Source organism: Homo sapiens, chromosome 11 (assembly GCF_000001405.40).
Source record: "Homo sapiens chromosome 11, GRCh38.p14 Primary Assembly".
Classification (NCBI taxonomy): Eukaryota; Metazoa; Chordata; class Mammalia; order Primates; family Hominidae; genus Homo; species Homo sapiens.
Window position 1 is genome coordinate 83,892,007 of NC_000011.10, and position 27,972 is coordinate 83,919,978.

The 27,972-nt window shown below is 37.2% G+C and overlaps 1 protein-coding gene and 1 long non-coding RNA gene across 53 annotated transcripts in view; one reads left to right on the plus strand and one right to left on the minus strand.

Moving 5' to 3' along the window:
* LOC124902729 (uncharacterized) lies at positions 1 to 27,601 on the plus strand. Its single transcript, XR_007062821.1, has 3 exons — positions 1 to 82; positions 26,891 to 27,007; positions 27,549 to 27,601. It is a non-coding gene; the product is annotated as an uncharacterized LOC124902729 (long non-coding RNA).
* Positions 1 to 27,972, minus strand: part of DLG2 (discs large MAGUK scaffold protein 2) — a 2,173,362-nt gene that overhangs the window by 436,995 nt on the left and 1,708,395 nt on the right. The window lies entirely within an intron of this gene.

Below are 27,972 nucleotides of genomic sequence, written 5' to 3' on the forward strand. Positions count from 1 at the left end.
TATCACCCTCATTGTACCAATAGGTAACAGAATAAAAGGCCAATTGTTCAGTTCCCTCTGCCCTACTATTTATACTCCAAAGGTAAGAATCGCCTCTTTCTCTGGTATTCTTTTCGGTTGAATATGTTCCAAGTAGTCATTTGTTCACCTAATCTTCTACTTATTACCAGAGCTCTAGTATTGAAAAGAAGAAAAAGTAAGTTGGAAATTAAGAGCCCAACATGATAAATGCAATGCTTTCTAAGATTTTAAATTTGATCCAGTAAAGTGAAACTAGTCACTGGGAACAAACTCCTTCCATTTAAATAAGTTAGCGCTTTCCTCTGGGATTAATTTTCTGACACAAAGCAATTTTTGCAAACATTTGTGGCTGTAAACAGCTTGATAATATTTAGTATTCATAGCCATTAGATTACCAATATAAGGCAAATATTAAATGTAAAATATCAATATAAGGAAAGTATCTAAACACTAAAATGTTTTGTCTTTGGATCTCAATGAAAATCTTCCAAATGAAGCTTTTAATGAATTTCCCATTAATGAAAAATGACTACTTATTAGCAACTATATTGTATGCAAGTTACAACTTTGTGAGGATGCAAGTGAGAGGATTTGAAAGGGCATAAAGGTAACAATTTTTAAATCTATGATAGTTTTCTTACCCTTCACATGTCTTAAGATTTGCAAAGAATTAAAAAAAAAAAACTCACCTCTAGAGGCCAAAAGTTTTATCATAGTTTGTTAAGTTAATAGAAGATTCAGACATCCATTCTCCATATCTCGGCTTCCCAATCACCTAACTGGCCAATACCCATTTGTTACCACCTGGTATATGCAAGGAATTATGCCTGGTATGACAAAGGAAAAAATAAAGCCTAAAATAAAGACCATGATCTTCAAGCATATATAATCTAACTTGCGAGAAAGGACATTTATTTGGTCATTCCAGTTCATTCCCTCCCATGTCAGTTTGGCCTACAATCTTCCTTTCTGTAAATAGAGGTACCGCTCACTGAGTTCAGTTGAAAAATCTAGGCATTTTCAATGATTTATTTTCCATCATACTCCATACCCAATCCATTAACAAGTTGTTTTACTTCTACCACAGAAATACACCCTACCTCTTCAGTGCTACCACCTTAATGGAAACAATACGCTCTCTTAGTAGACTGTTAAAACAGCGTCCCAACTGATTTTTCTCCTGTCCTGCAGTTACTTCTCACTGACCAAGATTGTTTTCAAGCATAACATCAGGTCATAAGTTGCCCAACTCACAGAAAACCTCTCAAAGACTTTTCCATTGCAGTTAGAATAAAATACACAGTCCCTTTGAGGGATATCAAATCCTGTGGCCACTGTCTGTCTTTTGTTGCTCATTGCTCCCCACTCTGTCTATCACTCCCTAACCTAGCCATGCTGGCCTTCTTCCTGCCTCTCAGATATTTTCGCTAGTTCTCTCTAAGGGCATCTGCATTCATTGATTGCTTTACCCCAGGTTTTCTCCTGGACACCTCCTTTTCATTCAGATCCCTGAGATGCCTTCCCTGGTCTTCTAGCTAAAGGTGTTCCATTCCCATCCCAGGTATTATATAGCCTCCTACATTTCTCCATATCACTGATTACTCACGGAAATTATCTGTTTATTGGTTCAATTTTGTATTTGTTGACTTATTTTCCAATTGAGAGTATTGCTTCCATGAGTTGGAATCAGGTAAACTTACTGAGAATTCTTTAATGCCATGATTCCAGTCAAAAATCATTGTTTTCATATTACTACTGCATGCTGTGTACCTTGCAGAAGTAATGCTTTCTTAGACTCCACTTCCCCACTGCCTTGGTTCTTTGAAATACCTGAGGAAAATGTGTTGACTTCATTTAACAGGAAGCATCCAGTCAAACACCCTGCTGGAAATTATTATGTTACTCAACTTCATGTCACATTTTATACTAAATATACCATTGGTTTGTAATTGCTCCAAATCCTTTCTCCCACCTCCAAACTTTATCAAGGCATATCCTCATTCATCCTTATTTAGCCAATGTTTACTGAGCACCACATATGTGCCAGGAAACAACCAATGTATTCCAGAATTCACTTTACTCAGTCGTCTACCTCATATTTGCTAAATTATTCTCCTTGTTGCCTTCTTGTAACCACCCACATTCTGTTATAGGACATTTCTGTATCTACTGAAATTCAGCACTGTGCTAGGTAGTATAAGAGTTACAAATAGGAAGCAAGCCCAGTTCCTGTTACTAAGAATCTTACAGTTTATATAGAGAGATACATAAGTAAGTGATAGTGATCAATTAACCAAAAACAAAAAGGAAGAAAGAAGAAAAGAAAGAGAAGCAAAAATAGACTGAACACTATTAGAACAGAGGAGATTTCACCCTAGCCTAGAAGTTTACAGAGCCCCAAGGAAACAAAAAAGGAAACAAAAATTTTTTAAAGATTTTGTTTGCCCTAAAATTTTGAGAAAGTTTTCCCTCTGAATTAAATAAAGTTAAAATTGATACATAATGGTTGTACATATTTTTGGGTACAGGTGCTATTTTAACACCTATATACAATGTGCAATAATCACATCAGGGTAACTGGGATATCTATCGCCTCAACCATTTATATTTTCTTTGTGTCGAGAACATGACAAATCTTCTCTTCTACCTATTTTTAAATGTACAACAAATTATTGGTAGCTATAATTTCCTTACTGTACTATGGAATACAGAACTTGTTTCTTCCATCTAACTATACTTTTTTTACCTTTAAAAAACTTATTTTCCCCAGCCCCTTCTCTTCCCAGCCTCTGATAACTACATTCTACTCTCTGCCTTCATGAGATCCACCGTTTTAGCTCCCACTTATGAGTGAAAACATACAATACTTGCCTTTCTGTGCCTGGCTTATTTTATTTAAATAATTACCTACAGTTCCATCCATGTTGTTGCAAATGACACAATGGATTATCACTCAGCCATGAAAAACAATATGAAATTGATTTGCATTTTTAAAAATTTTCTTCTGGGCCTTGAAGTTTCTAAATACTTTAATAGGATCATTTTAGGAATAAGACAAGTTATAAATAATGCACATACATGTGTATCAGGAAACATCATATTACTAAGAACTACTGTCTTTTTTTTTTTTTTTTTTTTTTGGAGATGGAGTTCTGCTCTTGTTGCCCAGGTTGCCAGGCTGGAGTGCAATGGCAAGATCTCAGCTCACCGCAACCTCCGCCTCCAGGGTTCAAGTGATTCTCCTGCCTCAGCCTCCCGAGTAGCTGGGATTACAGGCATGTCCCACCACGTCTGGCTAATTTTTGTATTTTTAGTAGAGAGTGGGTTTCTCCACGTTGGTCAGGCTGGTCTTGAACTCCTGACCTCAGGTGATCCGCCCGCCTCGGCTTTCCAAAGTGCTGGGATTACAGGCGTGAGCCACCGCGTCCAGCCACTACTGTCTTTTTTAACACAGTAGTGGAAACATTCATTAGGTGAGCGAAACTTCATAACTACAGCCATTTCCAAACATCTTTTATTTTGGGAAAACCTCAGCCATTTTCTTCACACAGGGCCCTTTAAACATGATACTTGACAACTAGGCAAAACTCCAAAGGAAGCACTAAGATGATTTCAAGAGCCACAGTCCCTGCTATTGTTCTTTACCCAGCCTGCTGCTATTCATTCTTCAGGACTTATCTCATGCACACTCAGATTCAGGAAAAGAATTTGCAAGCTCTCAGCTTTGTTTCCACAGCACCCAGGCATGTCCTCATCAAGGCATTTCCCACATAGCAGTAAAGCACTATTTTAAAAATGTCTTTTTCCCCAGCTAGGCTGTGAACTCCCTGAAGGCTGCAACCATAACACATTAACCATTGTACCCCCAACCCCATGTCTAGCACAGTTCCCATCTATTGAACTGAACACTGTAATGCTAGTTATATCATTTCCATTGAGTTCCCAAGCAAAAATACTCACTTTTATCAAGACGAACCATTTGTACTTGCATTTAATGAAGTCAAATGAATATACCAGGGACTCTCTTATGTATACAGTACACTTGACAAGGGGTGGGGGAAATTAATATATACCCTCTATTATACCACAAATTCACTAAAAAGGACAATATAAATAATGGAAGAATCCATTTACTGCCACTTGAGAATACAGTGGTGAAACTTAATTTTGGAATAAAATATGAAAACGACAATAAATAGATTCTGCTCTGCTCCAATAAACTTATATCTTATTGAAGGTATCTAGTTGAAATAGCAGCCATAAAAGTTACAGAGGTAGACGATTTAAGCAATTAGCCATGGCAGGACATTATAGGGTTTACTGCTGTCCGTAGCTGGTCTGCTTAAACAAGGCTGAAAGCCATCAACGCAGCTGAGCATGAAATTACAGAATCTTAATCTGCCCACATAAAGATGCTCACTGTTATTACAGTCAAATGTCATATTTAAGTTAATTTTGTGAAAGATGGACCAGCCATATTTTCTTTTGTGAAACAAAACAAAAGGAAGAAAATAGCTTGACCCCGTAAACAGGCACAAGTCTGACTACATTCTCTTACGACTGAGTTTTTTATTAATTAATGAATATTAAAAATACAGAGGTTAATCAAGAAAATGCAATTTTATAGAGAAAATAGTTTAGTGGTTGTCTGGGGCTGGGGTGGGAAAGGAGATTAATTGTAAGTGGGCATGAGGGATTTACTGGGGGCATGAAAGTGGTTTATCACTGATTTATGGTGATGGATGTAACACTGGGTAAAGTTACTAAGCATTATTGAATTATACACTAGAAATGGGTGAAGTTTATTGTATGTAAATATATGATGTGAAATTATGTATAATAAATCAGTCTAGGGCAAAATATAAAGCTTGAAACTACAGTACAAGATTTTTTAAAAATCATGTGTCATTAAGCAGTGTTGTATTTTTTAAGCTCTAAATTTCTAGGTTGTTTATAAAAGTTTTCATCTGATTCCATACTAGCAGAAAGCATCACTTTTAATAGATGCTGGTCACCTGATAATAACACTCATGTTATTCAATAACATGAATTATTCAATAATACTGATAATAACATTCATGTTTAGTCACGCTTTCCTCTCCAGCTTTGAAACCAGAGAAGCAGAGAGCCACTGCTAGCCAGCAGAGCTAAGTTCAATGTGGTGGATACATCCAACAGTGTGGATGTGATTTTACTGTTAATTGGCTTTGGTTAGTTACTCCTATTTGGGCCATAGCTGAATTACAACTCTTGGATTTGAATCTTTGTGGCATAAAAATATTAAGAAAGAAGCAATGAGGAAACAAACAAAACAGAAAAGCATTGATTCAAAGGGAAGAACACAAACTACCCTTAAGGGGATACTTTGTTTTCCAATGCCTTTAACCACTAATTTGAACCTAAACTGATACTGAAAGAAAACTACCAGGACCCAAATTGTGTATTCTATAAAAACTCTGATATTTTAAATGTTAAATTACTTGAAACATAAATTTCTTTGAATCTCTGCTCTCTAAATAACCCTCTAAAATTTACTTGAATACTAAAATACTATTTGTTACTATACAGGGCAGCTTGATAAAGTGGAGGCTGAATTATTCATTAAATCAATCACCCATTGATTTATTCCACAAATATTTACTGAATGTTCTATGTACAAGTACTCTCTAGGACCCAAAGATAAAGGAGTGAATAAAATGAAAAACAAGACAAACAAACAAACCCTGTCCTCATTCAGCTTGCCTTGTCATGGTGGGAACTGATAGAAATGAAAACTAAAATAATAATGAGAATACATACTACTTATTTAGAAATTACTATGTTGAATGTGTTTTGTTAATTGCTTTATACACATTATCTTATTTAATCCTCCTGATGGTTGTATCATCCCCATTTTGCGATGAAGAAACTGAGGCTTGGAAAGGTAAAATACTTTGTCTCCTCTAGTCACAAAAACTAGTAAGAGATAGGATTGCCCCTTAGTCTGTTAAAGTCCAAAGGCTGTGCTTTTACCTACTGTAAATGTTGCCTATACAAAGGGCCTTGGGAACTTTGGGGAATTGACTGACTGCCCTCAAAATTTGCAGATAAAAGTATCCTTTAGGAACTATAATAAATAATAGAGATCTATGTGTAAATGTGAGAATTTTTGAATCATAAATTATAAACTAAACATAAATATATATTTATAAACATTTGCAGAGATACATCTAAATGCACACATATGTATGTGTATACCTATATATTGGATATGTAAATATAAAAATGACTTTATTACATTCAGGTAAATATAAGTTTCCATTACCTCAAGAAAACTATAATGACTGATTTTCTCATGCTAGGGAGCTTTAGTTAATACTTTGTGTCTAAAATTGTAAATTATAAATTTGTTTTTGTATAGACTCAGAAGATAGAAAAGTCATAACGACATTTTCTTCATTTACTAATAAGGCTATTGATAATGGAGACTTTTTCTTTTAAATACTTTCATTAGTCTATGCTAGTATTGATCAAATACATTAAAGGACTGTTTTTTATTCTTTTTTCATTTTTCTATTATTACTTTCTATGAGATATTATTTAAAAAATAAATCTCATTGGCAAGAGTATTTTTTCCAATAATCAACTTAACATTTATCTGATACAATTGCTCCAACTACCTCTATCCTTCTCCAATTACTCCTACATAGTTGTAACACAAGGTATCCTCTTCTATTTTAGCTAAATAAATCTTGTCTTTCTCAGATGTTAACATCTTTCAAATATTTATAGACTAATAACAAGGTCCTATTAATTTTACTATTTCATCAAACTGCACTTATCTACTTATTTTCATATCCCTGTATAATTCAGAAAAAATATGACTATAGCATAATATGGATAATATTGTCCACATTTTATTTTAACAACCCTACCAAGTATCATAAATATATGAGAGATTATTTCTGTTCTGATAGGTGAGGATTAAACAGCACAGCTCCCATTACCAGGTGTCAGATGGCTGAATTTATACTGTCTGTGGAGTACTTTTTGCATACAGTGAATGAGGATATTTTCAAGTTAAATCTTTGGATAAATAAATGTCAAAGGTAATCATCTTTGAATACATGACTTACTCTTGTTGCTAAATCTGTTCTGGGGAAATTAGCCTATCAAGGGCATATCCATTAATTCCTGAGATTTTTCTCCGAAACTTTGTAGTCTTAGGTAGAGTCACCAGTCTCACTTCTTGAAAAGAGACTTTTCAGTACTGCACTTGGATCTCTGTCTCCAAACACCATCCTGTCTTCTTGATCTCACAGGCCAAAAAGCTCAGTCATGTAGGATTTATCCCTCTCCTGCATTTCTGGAGGTGTGAAGTGATGTTGGTTCTACTTTTAGAACATTTTCACATTGGTCTCTGATATGGATTAGCTCTGTGTCCCCACCCAATTCTCACCTTGTGGCTCCCATAATTCCCATATGTTGTGGGAGGGACCTGGTGGGAGATAAATGAATCATGGGGGCAGGTCTTTCCCATGCCTTTCTCATGACAGTGAATAAGTCTCATGAGATCTGATGGTATCAAAAATGGGAGTTTCCCTGCACAAGCTCTCTCTTCTCTTGTCTGCTGCCATGTGAGACGTGCCTTTCACCTTCTGCCATGATTGTGAGGTCTCCAGCCACGTGGAAATGTAAGTCCAATAAGCCTCTTTCTTTTGTAGATTTCTTAGTCTCTTGTATGTCTTTATCAGCAGCATGAAAATGAACTAATACAGCAAATTGGTAAGATTAGAGTGCATTGCTGAAAAGATACCCAAAAATGTGGAAGCAACTTTGGAACTTGGTAATAGGCAGAGGCTGGAACAGTTCGGAGGGCTCAGAAGAAGATAGGGAAATGTGGGAAAGTTTGGAACTCCCTAGAGACTGGTTGAATGGCTTTGACAAAAATGCTGATAGTGATATGGACAAGAAAGTCCAGGCTGAGGTGGTCTCAGATGGAAATGAGAAACTTGTTGGGAAATGGAGCAAAGGTGACTCTTGGTATGTTTTAGCAAAGAAACAGGAAGCATTTTCCCCCTGCCCAAGAGATTTGTGGAACTTTGAACTTGAGAGAGATGATTTAGGGTATCTGGCAGAGGAAATTTCTAAGCAGCAAAGCATTCAACAGGTGACTTGGGTGCTGTTAAAGATACTCAGTTTTATAAGGGAAGCAGAGCATAAAAGTTTGGAAAATTTGCAGCTGATAATGGGATAGAAAATAAAATCCCATTTTCTCAGAAGAAATTCAAGCCAGCTGCAGAAATGTGCATAAGTAATGAGGAGCTGAATGTTAATCCCTAAGAAAATGGGGGAAATGTCTCTAGGGCATGTCAGAGGTCTTGATGGCAGCCCCTCCCATCACAGAGCCAGAGGCCAAAGAGAAAAAAGTGGTTTTGTGGGCTGGTCCCAGGGTACCTCTGGTGTATGCAGCCTAGGGACTTGGTGCCTTGTGTCCCAGCCACTCTAGCCATGGCTAAAAGAGGCCAACATAGAGCTTGGGCTGTGGCTTCTGAGGGTGCAAGCCCCAAGCCTTGGCAGCTTCCATGTTGTACTGAGCCTGTGAGTGCACAGAGGTCAAGAATTGAGGATTTGGAACCTCCACCTAGATTTCAGAGGATATATGGAAATACCTGGATGCCCAGGCAGAAGTTTGCTGTAGAGGTGGGGGCCTCATGGAGAACCTCTGTTAGGGTAGTGTGGAAGGGAAGTGTGGGGTAGGAGCTCCCACCTTGGGGCACTACCTAGTGGAGCTGCAGGAAGAGAACCACTGTCCTCTAGACCCCAGAATGGTAGATCCACTGACAGCTTGCACTGTGTGCCTGGAAAAATGGCAGACACTCAAGCCAGCCCATGAAGACAGCTGGGAAGGAGGCTGTACCCTGCAAAGCTATAGGGCCAGAGCTTCTCAAGACCATAGGAACCCACCTCTTGCATCAGCATGACCTGGATGTGAGACATGGAGTCAAAGGAGATCATTTTGGAGCTCTACAATTTGACTGCCTCACTGGATTTCAGACTTGCATAGAGCCTATAGCCCCTTTGTTTTGGCCAATGTCTCTCATTTGGAATGGCTGTATTTACCCAATGCCTGTAGCCCCATTGTATCTATGAAGTAATTAACTTGCTTTTGATTTTACAGGCTCATAGGCGGAAGGGACTTGCCTTGTCTTAGATGAGACTTTAGACTGTGGACTTTTGAGTTAATACTGAAATGAGTTAAGAATTTGGGGGTTGTTGGGAAGGCATGATTGGTTTTGAGATGTGAAGACATGAGATTTGGGAGGGGGTAGGGGCAGAATGATATGGTTTGACTCCGTGTCCCCAGACAAATCTCATTTTGTATCTCCCAGAATTCCCACATGTTGTGGGAGGGTCCCAGTGGAAGAGAATTGAATCATGGGGGTGGGTCTTTCCTGTGCTGTTCTTGTGATAGTGGAGAAGTCTCACGAGATCCGATGGTTTTAAAAACTAAGTTTCCTTGTACAAGCTCTCTCTTCTCTTGTCTGGCACTATGTAAGATGTGCCTTTCACCTTCTGCCATGATTGTGAGGTTTTCCCAGCCATGTGGAACTGTAAGTCCAATAAACCTATTTCTTTTGTAAATTGCCCAGTCTTGGGTATGTCTCTTTTTCACCAGTGTGAAAATGACTAATACAGTTTCCATCTGACGGTACTAATACAGTTTCCATCTGCTGTTGTCATAGTGTAGCAAAGACAAAGTCAGAAGACCTGGATTTGATCCAGGATCCACCACTGAATAGCTTGGTTACCTTGGTAAGTCCACTTAACTAAGCCTTAATTTCCTCATCCACAACATGAGAAAAATAAGTCTTCATGATTTTTTTTTGTGTGACATCAAACACAATGTATGTAGTATATATTATGGAAGATATAGTAGGTACTCAATTAATCACTAAATATTATTACTATTATTACTTTCACCATTATTAACTACTTTTCCACTATTCAAGGTATTTTTTTTTCTTGAATTCATCCTTTAAAATTTTATCAAAGTAATCGTGCTAAACACTAATTCACAAATGTAATTCGAAAGCCTTTCATGATCCACCATTTAGCCTTATGTCCCTCTGCATATTCTATAATGTATTCACTCTGGGCTACTCAGCCTTTCTCAAACATCTCATGTTCTTTCATGCCACTAGGCATTTATATATGGCTCCCCTTGTTCTGGAATATCCCTCCCCTATCTCCTATTTCTTGCTGTACTTGATTCTGTAGTACCCACCACAGATTACTAGCCTTCATTGGAAAATAAAAGTTTAGAGGGTTCATTTGAATCAAGATTGAATGAATCAAGATTGTTATATGGATATAAAAACTGCTACATTAACAAAAGTAGCATCAAGAACAAGGGAGGGAATATTTACACTCTTACTCACCAATCAGCCTGCACAAGGGGTACTATTTTGGATTCAGAAACAATTACTCTTCAATCTGAAGATCAGAATGATAAGTGATTTTAAATCATGCCAAATGAAAAGCAACAGAAGGCACTGGAAATGTTTAATCTAGAAAAGGGAAAGCTCTAAGCAAATTGTAAACATGTGCAACCTCCTCATCTGAAATGGGCAGTGGACTTCCACTGTGTGGTCCCAGAAGGTAGCACTAAAACTAATAGGTATTAGGAAGACAGAAATGCATCCCAAGGGAACCCTTCCTAATCCCCAGGAATATAGGAAGGCAGATTGGACAATATGAAGAGATTCAGTTTCCTGCCCCTGAGGATAAAAAAGCAGGGTATGGGGAACTGGAAATGATGCTGAAGAGTCTTAAACCTCTAAATGGATAGTGGGCAAGATGAGTTGTTATGTTCCTGAGATGTGGTGACTCAAATGCTCAGCTTCCTTGAGATTTTTCTTACGTTCTCAGTCAGGATAATTCACACACATTTATTTTTTTCCATTGCCATTGTTCTATGATCATAGCACCGTCCATACAACAAATCATATCTCCATTTTACCCAATTTTATGGGTAGGTATTTCTGGATGAGAAATGTGTTATCGGGCAACCACAGCCTCTTTAATACAGAAGATGCTCAATAACAGGTATTGATTTAATTTTATAAATATGGACAATTCATTTATCTTTTCAATGAGTTTCCTTAGCAGTAAATATGAGCTTTAAATTTGATGATCTAGTATTCTAACTAATGCTATATAGTAAACTCCCTAATAATTAGACATATAAAGATTACTCTCTACTAGGTAACAAATATGAGTACTAATCTAAAAATTAATTTTTGAAATAAGTAGGAAAAAACCTATCAGACCCATTTTATATCAAGAATATTTGAAGGTAGATATGTACAGAGCTTCATCTGATAGAGTATTCTGTTACTCCTGACCTTCTCTCTGGGTAGAATTTCATAGAATGAAGTTCTTATGGTTTTATAAATAGTATTAATTGATTCTCAGTCTCAGAAAATGTTTCTGGTAGAAGTAGAATTGTTGTATGTTTATCCTGAGCACTTTATTGAAATTTATTGTAAACCTTTGCAATCAGGCTAAAAATATTCCTTTATTAACACCATCCCTTATTGGAAACTGGGGGCTTAGGCAAATTGGCAGCATCAAGCAATTCTTCCTAGGCCATTTGTACTGTTATTTCCACAATGAGTGTAGTTGCTTTATATTTTCAACCAATTCACATCTTAAAATAAGTGTTCATTGGTGATTTCCAGAAATTAGAAGCAAACTAAACCTCCTGTCATTCAAGAATAGCTACATAAATTATTGTGGATTATATTATTGATATGCAGTAGTCCCTTCTTATCTTCAGTGGAAATGTGCCAAGATTGGATGCCTGAAACTGCAGGTGGTAATGGACCCTACAAATACTGTGTTTTTTCCTATGCATACATATCTATGATAAAACTTGATTTATAAATTAGACACAGTAAGATATTAACAACAATAACTAATAATAAAATATAACAATGATTACAATATGCCCACATCACTACTCTTGTGCTTTGGGGGCATTATTAAGTAAAATAAGGGTTATTTGATCACAAGCACTGCAATACTGCAACAGTTGATCTGGTCACTGAGATGGCTCCTATGTGACTAAAGGGTGGGTAGTGTATACAGCATGGATACCTGGACTAAGGGATTATTCGGGTCCTGGGCAGGATAGTGAGAGATTTTATCATGCTTCACAAAATGGCACATAATTTAAAACATATAAATTGTTTATTTCTGAAATTTTCCATTTAATATTTTTAGACCATGATTGATATGCAAAATCATGGACAAATTGAGGACCACTGTGCTGTATAATTATAAAAATTAGTGTTATAAGCACAATGTGACAATTTGAAAAAAAAAGTTTATGATGTAAAAGAATGAAGTAAAAGATGTAAAATTTTACAAATACTTATAAATTTAACAGCTTAAATAATGATCTTATAAAACATCAGATCTGATTATATAATTCTTGGGAGACATTTATGAGCCTCTTGCATTTCTGCACATGTTGCTAGCAGAAGCACTGACTGTCTTTGTTCTGGGCTATGTTTTCAAAGATATTTGTATAGTATACAGCCTTGAAAGATAGACACAGTATCTCTGGAACTAGTTCTTTTGTTTACTTTTTTTTTTTAACCATCCATCATAATAACAATAATGCATTTCTCCATAGTAAAGACCAGGCAGGATTACTGTTCCTAATAAAAGATTCAAGTTCCCTACACTTGGGGTTCTTTTCCTATAACACAACCACTTGCATGTGCAGGCATCACCTGGCCTTCTTTGTGTTGCACTGTGGGAACTGGAGCTCAGGGAACTGCTGAAAATGCTTTTATTCTGGCTACAGCTATTATTATAAGTAATAAAGTCTCTGATTCAGGAGTGAAGAATCTTCTGTCCGTATCCAGTACAGTGTAGGAGGCTTACTTATTAGACTGAAAATGAAGTAAAAAATCTGAGGTCCTTCATTGTTCTTGACATTCATTCCCTTGCTTAAACCAGCTTAATCTACTTTCAGTATCATCCCATGCATTTAGGATAAAATTGCTAGTAATAATAATAATACCCTAAAACAACAATAATAATGGCTAATATTTAATGAGTGGCAAACATTGTACTAAGCATATTACATGTCATATAATCCTCACATTGATCCTATTGGGTAGATGTGATTGATATCACCACTTAGTAGGTGAGGAAACTGAGGCAGGGGCTCAGTGGTTTGGAAGAAATAAGGGTCATGATACATATTAGTCCAACTGTTAAGCAGTTTCTCTCACTTTTGATCTGATTCTTACCCATCCTCTGGGGCTCCATTAAATGGAACTTCCTTACAAAAACCTTCCTTTGACCTTCCCTCTAGTCTTATTTCCTCAAGGAACTCTGGTCTTTTCCTTTGCAGCACTTATCACAATTTATGTTAATTGTATGACTAACTGAGGAATCCTGTGATGGCTTATATATGGTATGTCTTCCATCTTACAGAGACCCACAGCAAAGGGATGAGGTCTACTTTGTTCTCCAAAGCTTTTAGCAAAACAGATGATAAGAAGTGTAGTGAATAAGCAGACATGTTTAACATGGTCATTCTTGCTTACATATATGTTTTATGGACCACTTATTGAGAATCAACTAAGTTGAAACATTTTGCCTAATTTATTGTTAAGCACTTCTACTCACTAAATTCCCTAAATGCCCCAATGAACTTTCATTATCATCTTTTGATGGGTTGTTGCTTTTTACATCTTAATGGTCTAATTCACCTTTGACGTAAGCCATTTGTACATTATCAACATACTGTTATGCAGCTGTGTGATAGGGTGGGCCAAATAAATTTTAATATGCAAATTTCCCCTTTAAAGAAGCAATTTTAGTAAAATTATATTGTTTTGCACTATAAAAGCTCACAAAATAAAAGTTGGAAATAGTTTTGTGAATAGCTGTGTTTTGTTAGAAGTAAATTCAAGTTTCCAGCTTGCTAATTGGAAGATTGCTATATCAGATGTCTGTCTGTCTGTCTCTCTCTCTCTCTCTCTCTCTCTCTCTATATATATATATATATATATATACATATATAGTTTTGCACTATAAAAGCTCACAAAATAAAAGTTATAAATAGTTTTGTGAATAGTTCTGTTTTGTTAGGAGTAAATTCCAGTTTCCAGCTTGCTAACTGGAAGATTGCTATAGTAGATGTCTCTCTCTCTCTCTCTCTCTCTCTCACACACACACACACACACACACACACACACACACACACACACACACACACACACACACACACCTCGGCCTCCCAAAGTGCTGGGATTACCAGCACCAGCCACCACACCTGGCCAAGATTTCAATAATTAATAAAGACATACATACATAGTTCGGGAGATAGGGGAGCACGGAAGTATAATAGGACTATTTACAATATGGTAGAGGAGGTAAGCCTCATAAGAAAGTTGATCACTCATTCATTCATCCATCTATTCCAAAATATTATTAGCATCTACTTTTGGAGAGAGTAGTGTGATGTGGGTAGAACACAAAGGATACCAACAATATCATCCATGTATCAAGTGCTTACTGTGTAGGCAATGCAAAGCACTTTATATGTGCCACTTAATTCTCCAGATAACCTTCGAGGTAAACATTATTTCCCCACTTTACACATGAATCTCATCGAGGTTAAGAAACTTCACCAAGGTAATTGGGTCAATGAGCAAAGGTACTGGAAACCAACGAAGAAAACAAAAACCAACCAACCTAACAAAAAAAGCCTAAAAATATCCCCTGTCAGTATGGCTCCGAAAGTTAACCACTTAATAACCACATTATCAGGGCTTACTCCTTCTGCAAGGGACTTTCAAGTTTATCGGTAACATAAAATAAGCACAGAAATTACCGTATATACCTAATATAAGATAAAAGTACTATAACAGAGGTACCAGAAAAATACTATGAAATTGCTAAGAAGGAAGAGCCAGTTTCTTCCAAGGTCTGCAGAGGAAGAATCAGAAAAAGATCCATGTAGGAGATGGCATTTGAAGATCTCGCACTGAAGTTGTCAATGTGAAGACTGTTTTAAACAGTGAACACTTAATATGGGAGAAACAGCTTGAGAAAGAAGAAATGAGAGAACATTTAATGTGGGAGAAACATCTTGAGAAAGAAGGCATGAAAGAAACTAGAAGGATCACATTGCAGAAGAATTAGAATATAGTTAATCACCAAACACTTACTATATCCCAAACATTGGGGAATAAAATAGGAATAAAACAGCACAGTGAGGAATATGGGCAGGTAAACAAATTACTATTTAGTATGATAGCAGAAGTATATAGAAAATACAAAAATAATAGAGAATAGAATTGAGAATACAAGATCATGTGACCTTCCTTTGGTTCACACTGAGTAAATTAGGATGATAGCATCCCTGGAGTGAACGAGAGTTATTTTCAAATATCCAGATACCCTCTCTAAGCTTCACTATTTTTGCTTTTTAATTCTGAAAAAGAGGACAATAACAGCATAATAGGATGGGAAGGATAATGACTTACTTGATAGGATGCTTGTGAGATCAAATGAGCTCATGTATGTAACAGGTTTATCCCAGTGCTGGCCCATCAACATGCTCAATAATGGTCAGTTATTATTATTAATATTATAATTATTAATTCTTTCTGACACTACTGGTAAAGGAAGAAAAATCACACTCAGGAAATGTGGCAAGAAGTTTATAAGCAAGCCTGAGTTCCTTCCTGCCCTGGAATTTAAGGCCCTCCATTTTATATACAGTTCTAGTTTATGGTTTTGGCCTTGTCTGCTGCTGCTTTGCACACACCTTCAAGCTCATCTAGACAACTGCCACCAGCACCTCCACTCTCCGTTCCCAAGGCACCCTTGCCTAAGTTCAACTGACCATCCCTCCTCAGCTTCCCAAGTAGCTTGCCTCCATTATGGCAACTGTCATGTTATATTATAATCATCATTTTATAAGCAAGTTTATTGGTTTCTAAAGTGCAATTCAAGTACCTGCAACATTGGCATCTCCTGAGAGCTCATTGGAAATGTTGCTTCTTATGCACAGTAAAGTGTTAGAAGTTTGGTCTAGAGTATGTATCCCCTGAGATCAGAAAACATTTTTTTCATCTAAGTATCCGTATACTTATTGCCATCTGGCAAAGAATAAGCTTTTAATGAATGGTCACTACATGTATGAATAAGTGAATGAGTTCATAGATGCCTTCTCATCTCTATTCCTTTATTCAAGTTATTTCACCTTCTTTTTTTTTTCAGCCTCGGATACCAACCTTTGTCTTCCCACTATGTTAACCTTCCTCTGAACACTTGAGATCTTTCTCTTCTCAGCACCTCCTGAAGCACCCTGTATTGATTATGACTGTCTTTTTTTCTCTCTCTCTCTCCATACGCACATGAGCATATATGCATGCACACACACGAGCATATGCACGCATGTACATACACATACACACCTACAAAAACAGAGCATATTTTTCATCTGCCTCACACCCACGATTAGCATTTGTCCTAGAGATCAAATATAGTGTCCTTTTTTATCTTCCCACAATTGTCTAACTGAGCCATTCCTAGCAGAGTAAACACTATTTGCTTAGTAAGTATTTGTTGAATTAAAGATTATTGCACATGACTGTTAGAGTAGGCCACTGGCCAAAGGAAGGGACTCAATATGCAGCATTTTTTTTTTTAAGGGACAGGGTCTTACTGTCACCGAGGTTGTAGCAGAGTGGTGCAATCACAGCTCACTGTAACCTCGAACTCCTAGGCTCAAGTGATTCTCCCACCTTGGCCTCCCCAGTAGCTAGGACTATAGGCCTGTGCCAGCATGCCTGCCTATTTAAAACATTTTTTCATAGAGATGAGGTCTTGCTATGTGCCCAGGCTATTCTTGAACTCCTAGCTCAAGCAATTTTCCTGTCTCAGCCTCCCAGAGTGTGGGATCACAGGCATGAGCTATCATGACCACCCTCATATGCAGCTTTTTAGCCTCTGCAGACTCTGCATCCTTGCCTCACTGAGTATCATCTTGAAGGAATGAAAGGAAATACAAGGTTTTATGCCATATGCTATTCAAGAGATTTCAGTTTAGGTGCTGGAATGACAATTGGCGTGAAAGCAGTAAGACCCTTGTTCTAGTAGGGCATTTATTACTAAGTTGCTACACAACCTTGGGCAGGCCATTTTCCCTTTTGTGGGACTGTTTTCCCATCTGTACATTATACACTGAGCACTGAAACAAATAATGTCTGAGACTCCTTTCAGTGCTAACGCTCTTTGATTCCATCCAGCTGCAAGGTTTTTGCAAATAGTAATTAATCAGAGAAATGAGTATAATAATTCGTGGCAGTAAACTGAGTATCATTCCATGCTAGACTGGTAGCACTGCAACTGACAATGGAAGCCACTGTCAAAGACCTCACTTACATCCACTCTGGTGAATAGCAAGAAAGCAGAGTAAGTTTGGGAAAAGCCGTAAGGTCATATAATGTGGCAGTAAAAAGTAAGAAGGCAGAGAAACTACGGATTGTTATAAAATAAATAAATGTTTAACTTTTCAAAATTACTGATGTCCATTTCAAATTTTAAATTTATGATGAAACGAAATGGGGAGAAATTAAATATCTGAAAAAAGAGAGACTTATGCTGGACCCAAGGGTCATTAATTGTTATGCTTCATCAAATGATTACTGGTTGAGGGAAAAGGACTTTGATCCCTGGAGACAGTATTGCTCAAGGGTTTGAATATATCACAGGCTTATCTTCTGTTCCAATCTTCCTCTGAGACATTTGATACAGGTCAATACAAAGAAAGCTTGGGAAGACTCTTCCTCTACTCCAGGGAAGCAGCCTCAATGTCTCCATGTCCTGTTCCTGCCCTAGAAAGTGATCCACTGGAGATTCTAATTAAATTTGCTATCTGAAGATGTGGGAGATGTGTCTAATTATGCTAGGCTCTAAAAACAGGATGGAGAATTTTATCTGAGTCTTTTGTTAGTCATTAAATTAAATGAACAGTTCAGTAATAAACCCAGCAGAGTAAATCAACCAAGTGAAGTGGAGTGTAGACTACATTGAAAAGTTGGACTGAAAAGGTGTCAAACCTGTAGGAGAACTGCAGCTGCTGAGCTCTGTAATAGAGTATTTGAGAAGTTAATGTGCATTGCAAAAGTGTGGATACACTATGCTGTGACACAAGAAGTGTGGTTTTAAGGGAGAAGAGTTTTAGAGTCATCAAATTGACATAAAATGACCTCAAAGCTGACAACTTTTGGAACTAAGAAAATATTCGATTAATGGTCAGTCAGTGTTTTCATTAAAGTTTAACTTTTCTTCTACTAAAGAAGTCAAGGTCCTGTGAAACATGAACATCAAATGAACGGTCCTGGAAGCACCGTGGAGAACTTGTTTTCTTTGTTATTTCAATTTAATGTCCTGTAGCATGGTAGAATGACTGCATTTAACAATAATACATAGTTTCAAATAGCTAGAAGGAAAATATTAAATGTTCCCAACACAAAGATATTATAAATGTTTGAGATGATGGATATGCTAACCTGATCACCACACATTACATGTATCGAAACATCACTGCACTCCAAGAATATGTACAATTATTAATACTTTAAAAACTTAAAAGATTATTCAAGGAAAAAGTACAGCTATTTTAACTTAGAGAAAAATGTGGTTTTCATACAGGTACTTTGAGAAGACATTTCAGTTGCTCTTCATGCCCCGACAGCTATCATTGTCGTGATGATTATTAAAGATGACACACTGAACATTTGAGAACCCACTATGTGTATGGCACTATTCTACTTTTATGGGGATACCAACAAATTGATATCAAGGGCCTCTATATTCAAGAGGTTTACATTAATATAGTTAATGAGACAAGACCACAGAAATGAATGATTTGCCGATTACACAAAGTAATCTTTAATTGAGCAATAATAGTTTGGCCTAAAGTAGGCAAAACATGATATGACTCCAAAGAAGATAGGCACTCACAAAGGTAGAAGTGCTCAAGAAAAAAAGTGATGTAAATAATAAATACTTGAGCTAGATTTTCTTATACTGATACAGTTATGAAAACCAAAGAAAGATGGGAAAGTAGCTCAGTGTAGAGGAATAGCAAGGGCAGAGGCAGAGAGAGGAAGGAACAGGGGAATGAAGCTGACAATAGACAGAACTGCCTGAATTGAGAAGTCAAATAATGACAATCTAAGGCAAAGGTGTAGGTTTGGGTATAACAAAATATAATTATCATTCTATATTGCTTTTACCGTAGTTATTTTTTCCTTCAGGGTACAGTTTCATATTAGCAAAACTAACAGGCTAAACTTATAATTTTCTACTCCTCATGTAACTTGTCTTAGATTGAGTGTTTCTATGAACTAAGGTTTTTTTTTCTTTCATTATTTTTTAATGTGTGGGATTTTTCCTTTGCAGTTCAGATCAGCTCCTCTGTATACACAGTGTTAATGACTGACATTTAAGAATGCTGGTTTTACAGCAAAATTGTCCATCTCATGTGTTACTGCTAGCTTCTGTTGCCTCTGTAATTCTCAACTCCATTTCAATGTTAGCCTCATAACATTTAATAATATGGAGTTATTAAATCACTTTATTTTTCTATTTAGCAGGATCAGAGCTACAAAAAGTGTTCTCTAATAAGGCTAGCGTTGTATAATGAATCAGCGAAAATAGTGAGGGATTAATTTAGAGGAAAAAAACCTTAGGAAATAAAATGACATTCTTTATGCCTGTTACTAAAAGAAAAGCAAAAGGTTTTTTTTTGTTTTCTTTTTTTTGACAGTGCAATTACAAAATGTGTTTCCTTATTTTGGTGTTTTGAAAGCTGTACAGATAACTTGTTAATTCCTACCCCAAAGGTTATAATATAAGCAGTTTAGAGCAATGGAAAAAAAAGAATTATTGAAACAGCAACAAATAAAACACAAGAGCAAAAATGGCAATCATATTTTGCACTTATATACTCTCACTTGCTGAGGGGCTATCAGCATACAAGGGCTGTCATATAATGCAGCTATATAGAAAAAAAGAAAACAAAGAAAAAAATAAAAATGTCATCAAAATTATATAAAATTTTTGTCAAATGGAGACATATGTCAAATGGAGACATATGTGATGTCAGGGACATCACAAAAACCAAAAAGTAACATTATTGATGACGACTTGTATATATAGTAATCATCCAACTTATGACTGGGTTGTTATCTTTAAGATGTCTTGTTTGGGTCCCCAATGTGTCTGGACTACAGGCTGCAAAACCTAGATCCAAGGGCTTTTGAAAATAGTGTCCACAGCCAAAACTAATCAGATGTTCAAACACAGTGTCTACCAAATGTTGTGCATGAGTGTACAAAAAATGGCACCGTGAAAAGAGTGCTAGCTGATTTCAAGAGGGTGACTGGGGGACTGCATCAAGAACACACAGTGGCAGGAACGATTTTAATGAAAAATCCTGAAGACAAATCCACGTTTTAGTTTTTTAAATGAAGCGCGTTAACATAATATCTACTATCTATCATCACCATAATTTCATAAAATAAAATATTTTTAACACCAAAATTAAAGGGAGATTCCAATCTCAGGAAGGATTCCTCCCAAGGAAGGACAATGGGCAACCCGATACTGATATTTGTATGTGTACATTGCAAAGTTCTTCTTTTCTTTCTTTTTGCCCCAGGCCAGCAGAAATTTGGCCATGAATCAGCTCAACTCTATGGACTCGAATTTGGGAAAACACTGAGAGAACATCCATGAGTGCTGGAATTACACAGATAGAATATTTTATAGTATGCCCGCGGCTTTGTCAAAGGTTGGGGAAGAGCTTAAGGAGCCAATTTAAATAGTGGGAAGAATAAGGCAGTGAGGGCTATAATTATGTCCAAGAAAGGTTTCTATCTCTATTTTAATTCAAATTGAATGCAGTCACCTGACCCCATTAGTTAATATCCCACAGACTTCTCAGTGTCAATCTGTGTGTTTGTGTGTGTGTAAACATCCCTTAACTTCTCTCTCATTTTAATCATGTTAATAAATTAACATATTCCATTCTTGATACCCTGTCAGAATATGCCCTCGATTATAGCAGCTTTGTATGGAATGCTAATTGTTTTCCTGTCTGCTATGGTCTCTGTTAGATTGGGAGTCTCTTCAGGAAAGAGCTAAGTCTAATTTATCTTTGTATTCTCAGTTGATGGCACAGAGCATTTCACAGGATCACCAAATACAGGGCTCTTATGGGAGTAAATAAATGAATAATGATTTAAATATATTTTTTTTATTGCTTAAAAAACCAACAACTCAATACTTTCCAGGCACATTGCTGGCACTAGGGATAGAGGAAATAATTAAAACAGAGTCCTTGAACTCAAGAAGCTCACAGTCTAGTTGATAAGGCAAACATGGAAATCAAGTAATTAATAATAATAATAATGTAGGCTAATTTCTATAACTTTGGAAGGATGGAGGAGGTCCCCTCACCCATGCTGAGAACTTCAGGGAGGGGTTTCTGGTGGCACCACCAAAAACACATTTCTTGGGCTTATTAACAGTTACTCATGTGAACAGACCTGTTTGTGGGAGCTGGTAATGAGGTGGCCAGGTGAATGGTACATGTGCCCATTAAGAGAGGGAGGAGGAGTTTCAAAATGGAAGCATAAGCAAGGACCTCAAAGAAAGGGAGACTTTTGTTTTTTCTGTGAACTGAAAGAACTGATATGACTGAAGGACAGGTGATGTGGAGATTGGAAGATTAATCAGGTCAATGACAACCAGATTTGCAATGCAGAATGCTCCACATGGGCTACAGTGTGGATAATGAATTGCAGGTGCATATAGACAGACTGTGGTGAAAACCAGTGGGTAAATACTTCAGATGAGCAGTGATTCTAGTTGGATGTAGACTGGAGATAATATGGAAAGACTGCAGAAAAATCATTCAAGAGATATTAAAGATATATGGATATGATGCTTGGTGATATAGTTTGGATATTTGTCCTTTCTGAGACTCATGTTGAAATTTCATCCCCAGTGTTGGAGGTGGGGCCTGGGAGAGGTGTTTTGGTTGTGGGGGCAGATCTCTCATGATGGCTTGGGGTCATTTTTGGGAGACTGAGTGAGTTTTCACTGTTAGTTCCTGCAAGATCTGGCTGTAAAAAACAATCTGGCATCTCCCTTCTCTCTTGCTCTCTTCCTCTCACCATGTGATCCTGGCTCCCCTCTGCTAGAAGCAGATGCTGACATCATGATTCTCATACAGCCTGCAGGACTGAAAGCCAAATAAACCTCTTTTCTTATAAATTATCCAGCTACAGGTGTTCCTTTATAGCAACGCAAATGGACCAAGACACAGAGATCAAGTTATAACACCAAGATGTTTTTCTAGATTCCTCCTACTGATTTGCCTTAACTTGATCTCTGATCTCTTTTCCACAGAAGTACTTAGCTTACCATGGGCCAAATGCTTTTCATGTATAAACTCATTAACCCTCATTATTATCCTATGAGATGGATACTTTTTAAAAAATTCTCATTTTATGGATAAGGAAACTAAGGCATAAAGAGGCTACACGGCTAGTGAGTAGAGCCAGGATCCGAACTCAAGCACATGCCCTTAAATGCTACCCCACACTGTTGATGGTCATTAGACAGTGGATTTAACAGGAGACAACAATCTGAATGGTAAGTGTAATGAACATACTTTTTGATGTGCTTCAGAGCATTTGAGGATCGATATCCGGTAGGTATGTATGTCTGGAGCCAAGATCTAATTGTAGATATAGAGACGAGAGACATAGGCACATAGTTTAAAATCAGATCTGTGGGTGTGGATGTGTTCCACTCAGGTGGGTGTGCAGAGTAGGAAGAGAAGGAAGGAATCACTGGGTGAAACAGACACATAAAGGATGAGGAGAAAAGGAGATGCCTAATGAGACAGAGAAGAAAAAGTCTGAGATGCAAGCACAACAGTGAGCCTGGAAACAGGATTCTGGAAGTTTAAAAAAAGTTTTAGGAAGGAGCAGGCAACAGAGGCAAGTGTACAGGAAAATAAGATTAGATAGGGACTGAAAAGTTTCCACTGGATTTAGAAACAAAGAATCTTGGCAACCTTAGTGCAAATGAATTCAGTGGAGGGCTGGGGGCAGAACTTAAGCTCCAGTTCTCTGAGGAGTAAATGGGTTATAAGAAAGAAGAGATAGTGTAGACAACTCTTCTGGCTGGGAAGGAGAGTATTAAGGATTAGTTTTATGTAATGGAATGATGATTGTAGTGTAGCAAAAGCAAACAAAACTAGGTTGAAATCTCAGCTCTGGTAGCTATCATCTTTATCAGTGAAATAGAAATAAAAATACCTACTGTATAGATTTATTATTAGGATTAGTGATTATTTTTGCAAAACACCAAACAAAAAGTAGTTAGTAAATGAGAACTATAGCCATGTTAAAAATGTAAAAATCTGAAAACCTTCTTCTGAATAATTTATTTGAATAACCTTTCATAGACAAATTAAAACTTTTTAAAATTATTTTTTATTATTTTTATCTGAATATTTGACATTATAAGGACATAGTATTAATGTCACTGTGGCTATATAAATTATTTAACTTTTAAGTAAGAATTTTAAGTAAGCTTTATTGAGATATAATTTACCTACAGTAAAATCACTTATTTAAAGTGCATTGTTCAGTGGCTTTTAGTATATTTACAGAATTGTGCAACCATCATGATGGTCAACTTTTAAAACATTTTCATAATCTCCCAAAGAAATCCCATACCCATGATCAGCATCTCCTAATTCCCATAGCCTCTCCCTCTAGCCCCAGGAAATCACTAATCTATTTTATGACTCTACAGATTTATTTGCCTATTGTTGACATTTCACAGAAATGGAATCATGCAAGGTGTGGCTCTTTGCGATTGTCTTCTTTTACTTGGCATAATCTTTTCATGGTTTACCCATGCGTAACACGTATCAGTACTTCATTCTTTTTTCTGGTTAAATAATATTCCATTGAATTATAAAGACATACCACATACTATTTATCCATTCATCAGCTGATGGGCATTTGGGTTGTTTCCATATTTTGGCTATATTATGAACAATGCTGCTATGAACATTTGTATACAAGCTTTGTAAGGATGTATGTTTTCATTTCTCTTGGGTGCATACTTATGACTGAAATTCTGAGCCTAATGGGAGATTTTTAAATTTAGGGTTTTTTTTTTGTTTTTTGTTTTTTGAGACAAAAGTCTTGCTCTGTTGCCCAGGCTGGAGTGCTGTGGTGTGATCTTGGCTCACTGCAGCCTCTGCCTCTCAGGTTCAAGTGACTCTCCTGTCTCAACCTCTTGAGTAGCTGGGATTCCAGGATCATGACAGTATGCCTGGCTAATTTTTGTATTTTTAGTAGAGATGGGGTTTCACCATGTTGGCCAGGCTGGTCTCAGACTCCTGGCCTCAAGTGATCTGTCCACCTCGGCCTCCCAAAGTGCTGGTATTACAGGCCTGAGCCACTGCACCCAGCCTAAATTTAGTTTTTAATAACAAAACTTAAACATGCTTACAGACAAAACAATTTAAAATTGTATAAAGTGAAGGATAATTTCTTTCCCCATCCCAATCATACTTCCCTGAGGTAAACACTGTTAACCTGAGGTAAGTTTTATTTCCTTCCTTCCGGTCTTGCTCTATGATAGGCCATGTTTCTTAACATGAAACATTATGGTAGATTGTGTTTAGCTGAAATTACAGGCTGGTGAATGAGAAAAAGCACTACCACCTGAAGTCTCTGACCCAACTGCTATATCCGTCACAGACTACTGGTGTGACTGTGTGATCTTGGGTGAGTCTCTTGATTTTGCTGGAGTTATTTTCTCAATTTTTTAAGTGTTTGGGTGGAAAGTTTTCTGATTCAGGTCAAGCATTATATGATTTAATAATACTAAGGGTCCTGAGGATGCACTATTAGCTTTAGGCTTATTTGCAATGTGTTTTTCTTTCCATTTCTTTTTACTTATCATTGGTAGAAGGAACTTCAGAGAAAGGCAATGACAATTACCCTCACCTTGCCAACCACTGACATTTGCTTAGCATGCTAAACAAACTTTCAGAGTTACTGGTGTTGAAAATAAAGTCCTTTTGCAGGTCTTAATTTGTTTCTTTTCAATCTTCTAAGTTTGCTGAATAGTTTTTGTTTTATTACCTTTTACAGAGTCAATCAGAGTGGCTGAGAATTTTGCTTGCTATGTACCTTGATTCTACTTTTCAAAGTCTAGTCATGCTCATTACAATGACCTAACCTATGTTAGAGGCATCCACATATGGTGAAACTTCTCCAGAGCATCTGATATTGACACATGTTTAGTATAGATGAAAAAGACTTTAACAAAAAGCAGACACTGTTATAGTACATAATAGATGGGTTGATGAAAATCAGTTTCTGTGTCCTAACTCTGAAATCAAAAAATCCCAGGGGAAACTATGTGCATCACCATCCCCCAAGAGAACAAGGATGAAATCTGACCCTGCTGGAAGGACTTCCCTCTGTCTGCCAGTTCTTCCGCACATATCCTTGAGCCTGAAGAAGAGCTTCCATTAAATGTGAACTCTTCCTTTGAGCTATAAGACTATAAATCACAGTCGTAGGTAAATACCCACCACTTGTCATTCCAATGAATGTCTACTACGTGCTCATGTGTCACATGATAACATACAGCATGGTTCCTACCTTTAAACAGATGACAGAAATATATTCTGTTTTCATAGTTATTACTAGAGTTACACAGTTATTACTAGAGGAAAATCTACAATTCGATTCTGGCTGTTCTTGAAGTTCATTATTCCCTTAGGCATTATGGGATGAAAGTGCATGAAGAAGAATGAAGGATTGTTTGCAAGTCCCCTTAGTAGCTGATTTTGAACCTACCAAGCAGAAAGGTAGGGTCTGAAAACAGTAATAATGTGAGAAGGCAGATGTCCCATTACAAAGAGCTTGGATCTTGAACACATGTGAATTTCTACTTGTTGACCTAGGGAAAGAGAGAGGGCTCCATGGCATTCCATGAAAGAGGTCTCACTGTGGGCTAAAGCAAGAACATGAGATACATTAGGGGGCCTTTTACAGAGAATGGAAAGAAGAAACCAACAGTATACGTATAGGTGAGAACTCAGGAGAGACAACTAGCATTGTGGAGCTATGATTTACAGCAGAAGGTCTTTGATCGGAGGTTCATAGGTGCTCTCGACCTATTGGATACCAGTAGCTGCCTGAGGCCTCAGTGGCCAAGGCATTCACTCACACCTATCCTGATTTCCTACAGTTGCCATCCCCATTCTTCCTGTGGTAATTCTTTAACTTCAGGGTTTTAAAAGGTATATCGTCTTCTAAGAAAAGGTTTGTTGCTCCTGAACCTGAATGTTAATGCTACTTAACAACAACAGAAACGTCCATGTTTGTCTTTTTTGTTTCTCTGCTGGGAAAAGTGCCTGAATTAGAGGCTGACTTTATGAGTCACAAGAATCCCAGAGGAAAAGGCTCCAGTATGAAAATCAGGGCAGGGAACCTGGCCAGCACAGGAACAGAGCTGCTGTGGAAGATAGAAAGTGAAGTAAAGTCCCTGCCTGAGGAAAGAGGCCTCAGCTGACCATGGGTCCCACACGGCGCCTGTCAAAGGGCAGAGTGGGGATCTCAGTGCTGTAACATGAGACTCCCCTCTGTGAAGTCACAGCCCAAGGTGGAAAAATCTTGGTCAAAAAAAAAAAGTCTTTGTAAAATAAATTGAAGGCTTCTCATCTTGCCTCTGCCAGACACTGCCCAGTTCTTAGAAGTCTAGCGTCAACATGGAGCTCCAGTGTGGACAAGAGTGGGAAAGGAGATGCATATCCAACATAACATCACTCAAAGCAATTGGGACAGTGACAAAGGTGAGAAGAGTAAGGAAGTTCTTGTAAGTGAGGAGATTTCTATGGGAAAACAATAAGGAAAGTGTTGTATTGTGAAAGTGTGGAAATGGTTGCCTAGGACATCTTGTGATTCACCAACAGGCCCTATAAGGAGGGAAAGAATAACCACAGAACTCCAGCAATTATAATGGTAGAAATCTGGTAGAGGCTCTGTTTTATATTTCACAGCTGCTTTCCTCATGTCCAGTGTAGCTTAGGGTCTACAGGTACCATAGGCCCTGTACTATTTCACTGATGGTGAGAATAGTAAGAACTTACCAAGTAACTGGTCAGATAGAAAGGAAAACGGGGCTACTATCTGACCTTCAGGTTTCCCATGCAGAGTCTCTGAATACCCAGCATTCAATAAATACAAATCTATATATAGCTATGGAAAAAAATCAGGCTGGATCCAAAATAAATAAGGCAGAAGCTGATTAAAATTCATACATATTTGAAATATTCTATCCATAATAAATTTCTAGACCTTTTATTTTCTTATTTCTCCTTTTTTACATTACAGGTGGCTGTTGACTATATCCACAAAAGAAACTCTCTAGGTCCAGTGGTCCCTAAATCTTCTGAGAACAGGGGTCAGCCACATCTGGATTGCATATCCTCAGAAGTGCTAACCTTATAATATGAATTTAATGCCTGTTTGGGGTCTGAGTGACAGTTTCCTCATCTGGAAAATATAGAGGTTGGACTAAACTGTTTAGTCCAATCTTTGTACCCAACCATCTCTGAACCTATGTTAGCATCTAGTTATTTTTTTCCCATAAGGCTGATGGAATAATATCTTTACAATTATGCCGGAGGCATAGGAAAGAAAACAGAGCATGAATTAGATGAATTTGAAGGAGATCTAAATAACACAGAGAAATGAAATTCTTATTCATATCCTGATATCCATCTTCATTTGGGTCAATTTATTATGTTAGGCAGGT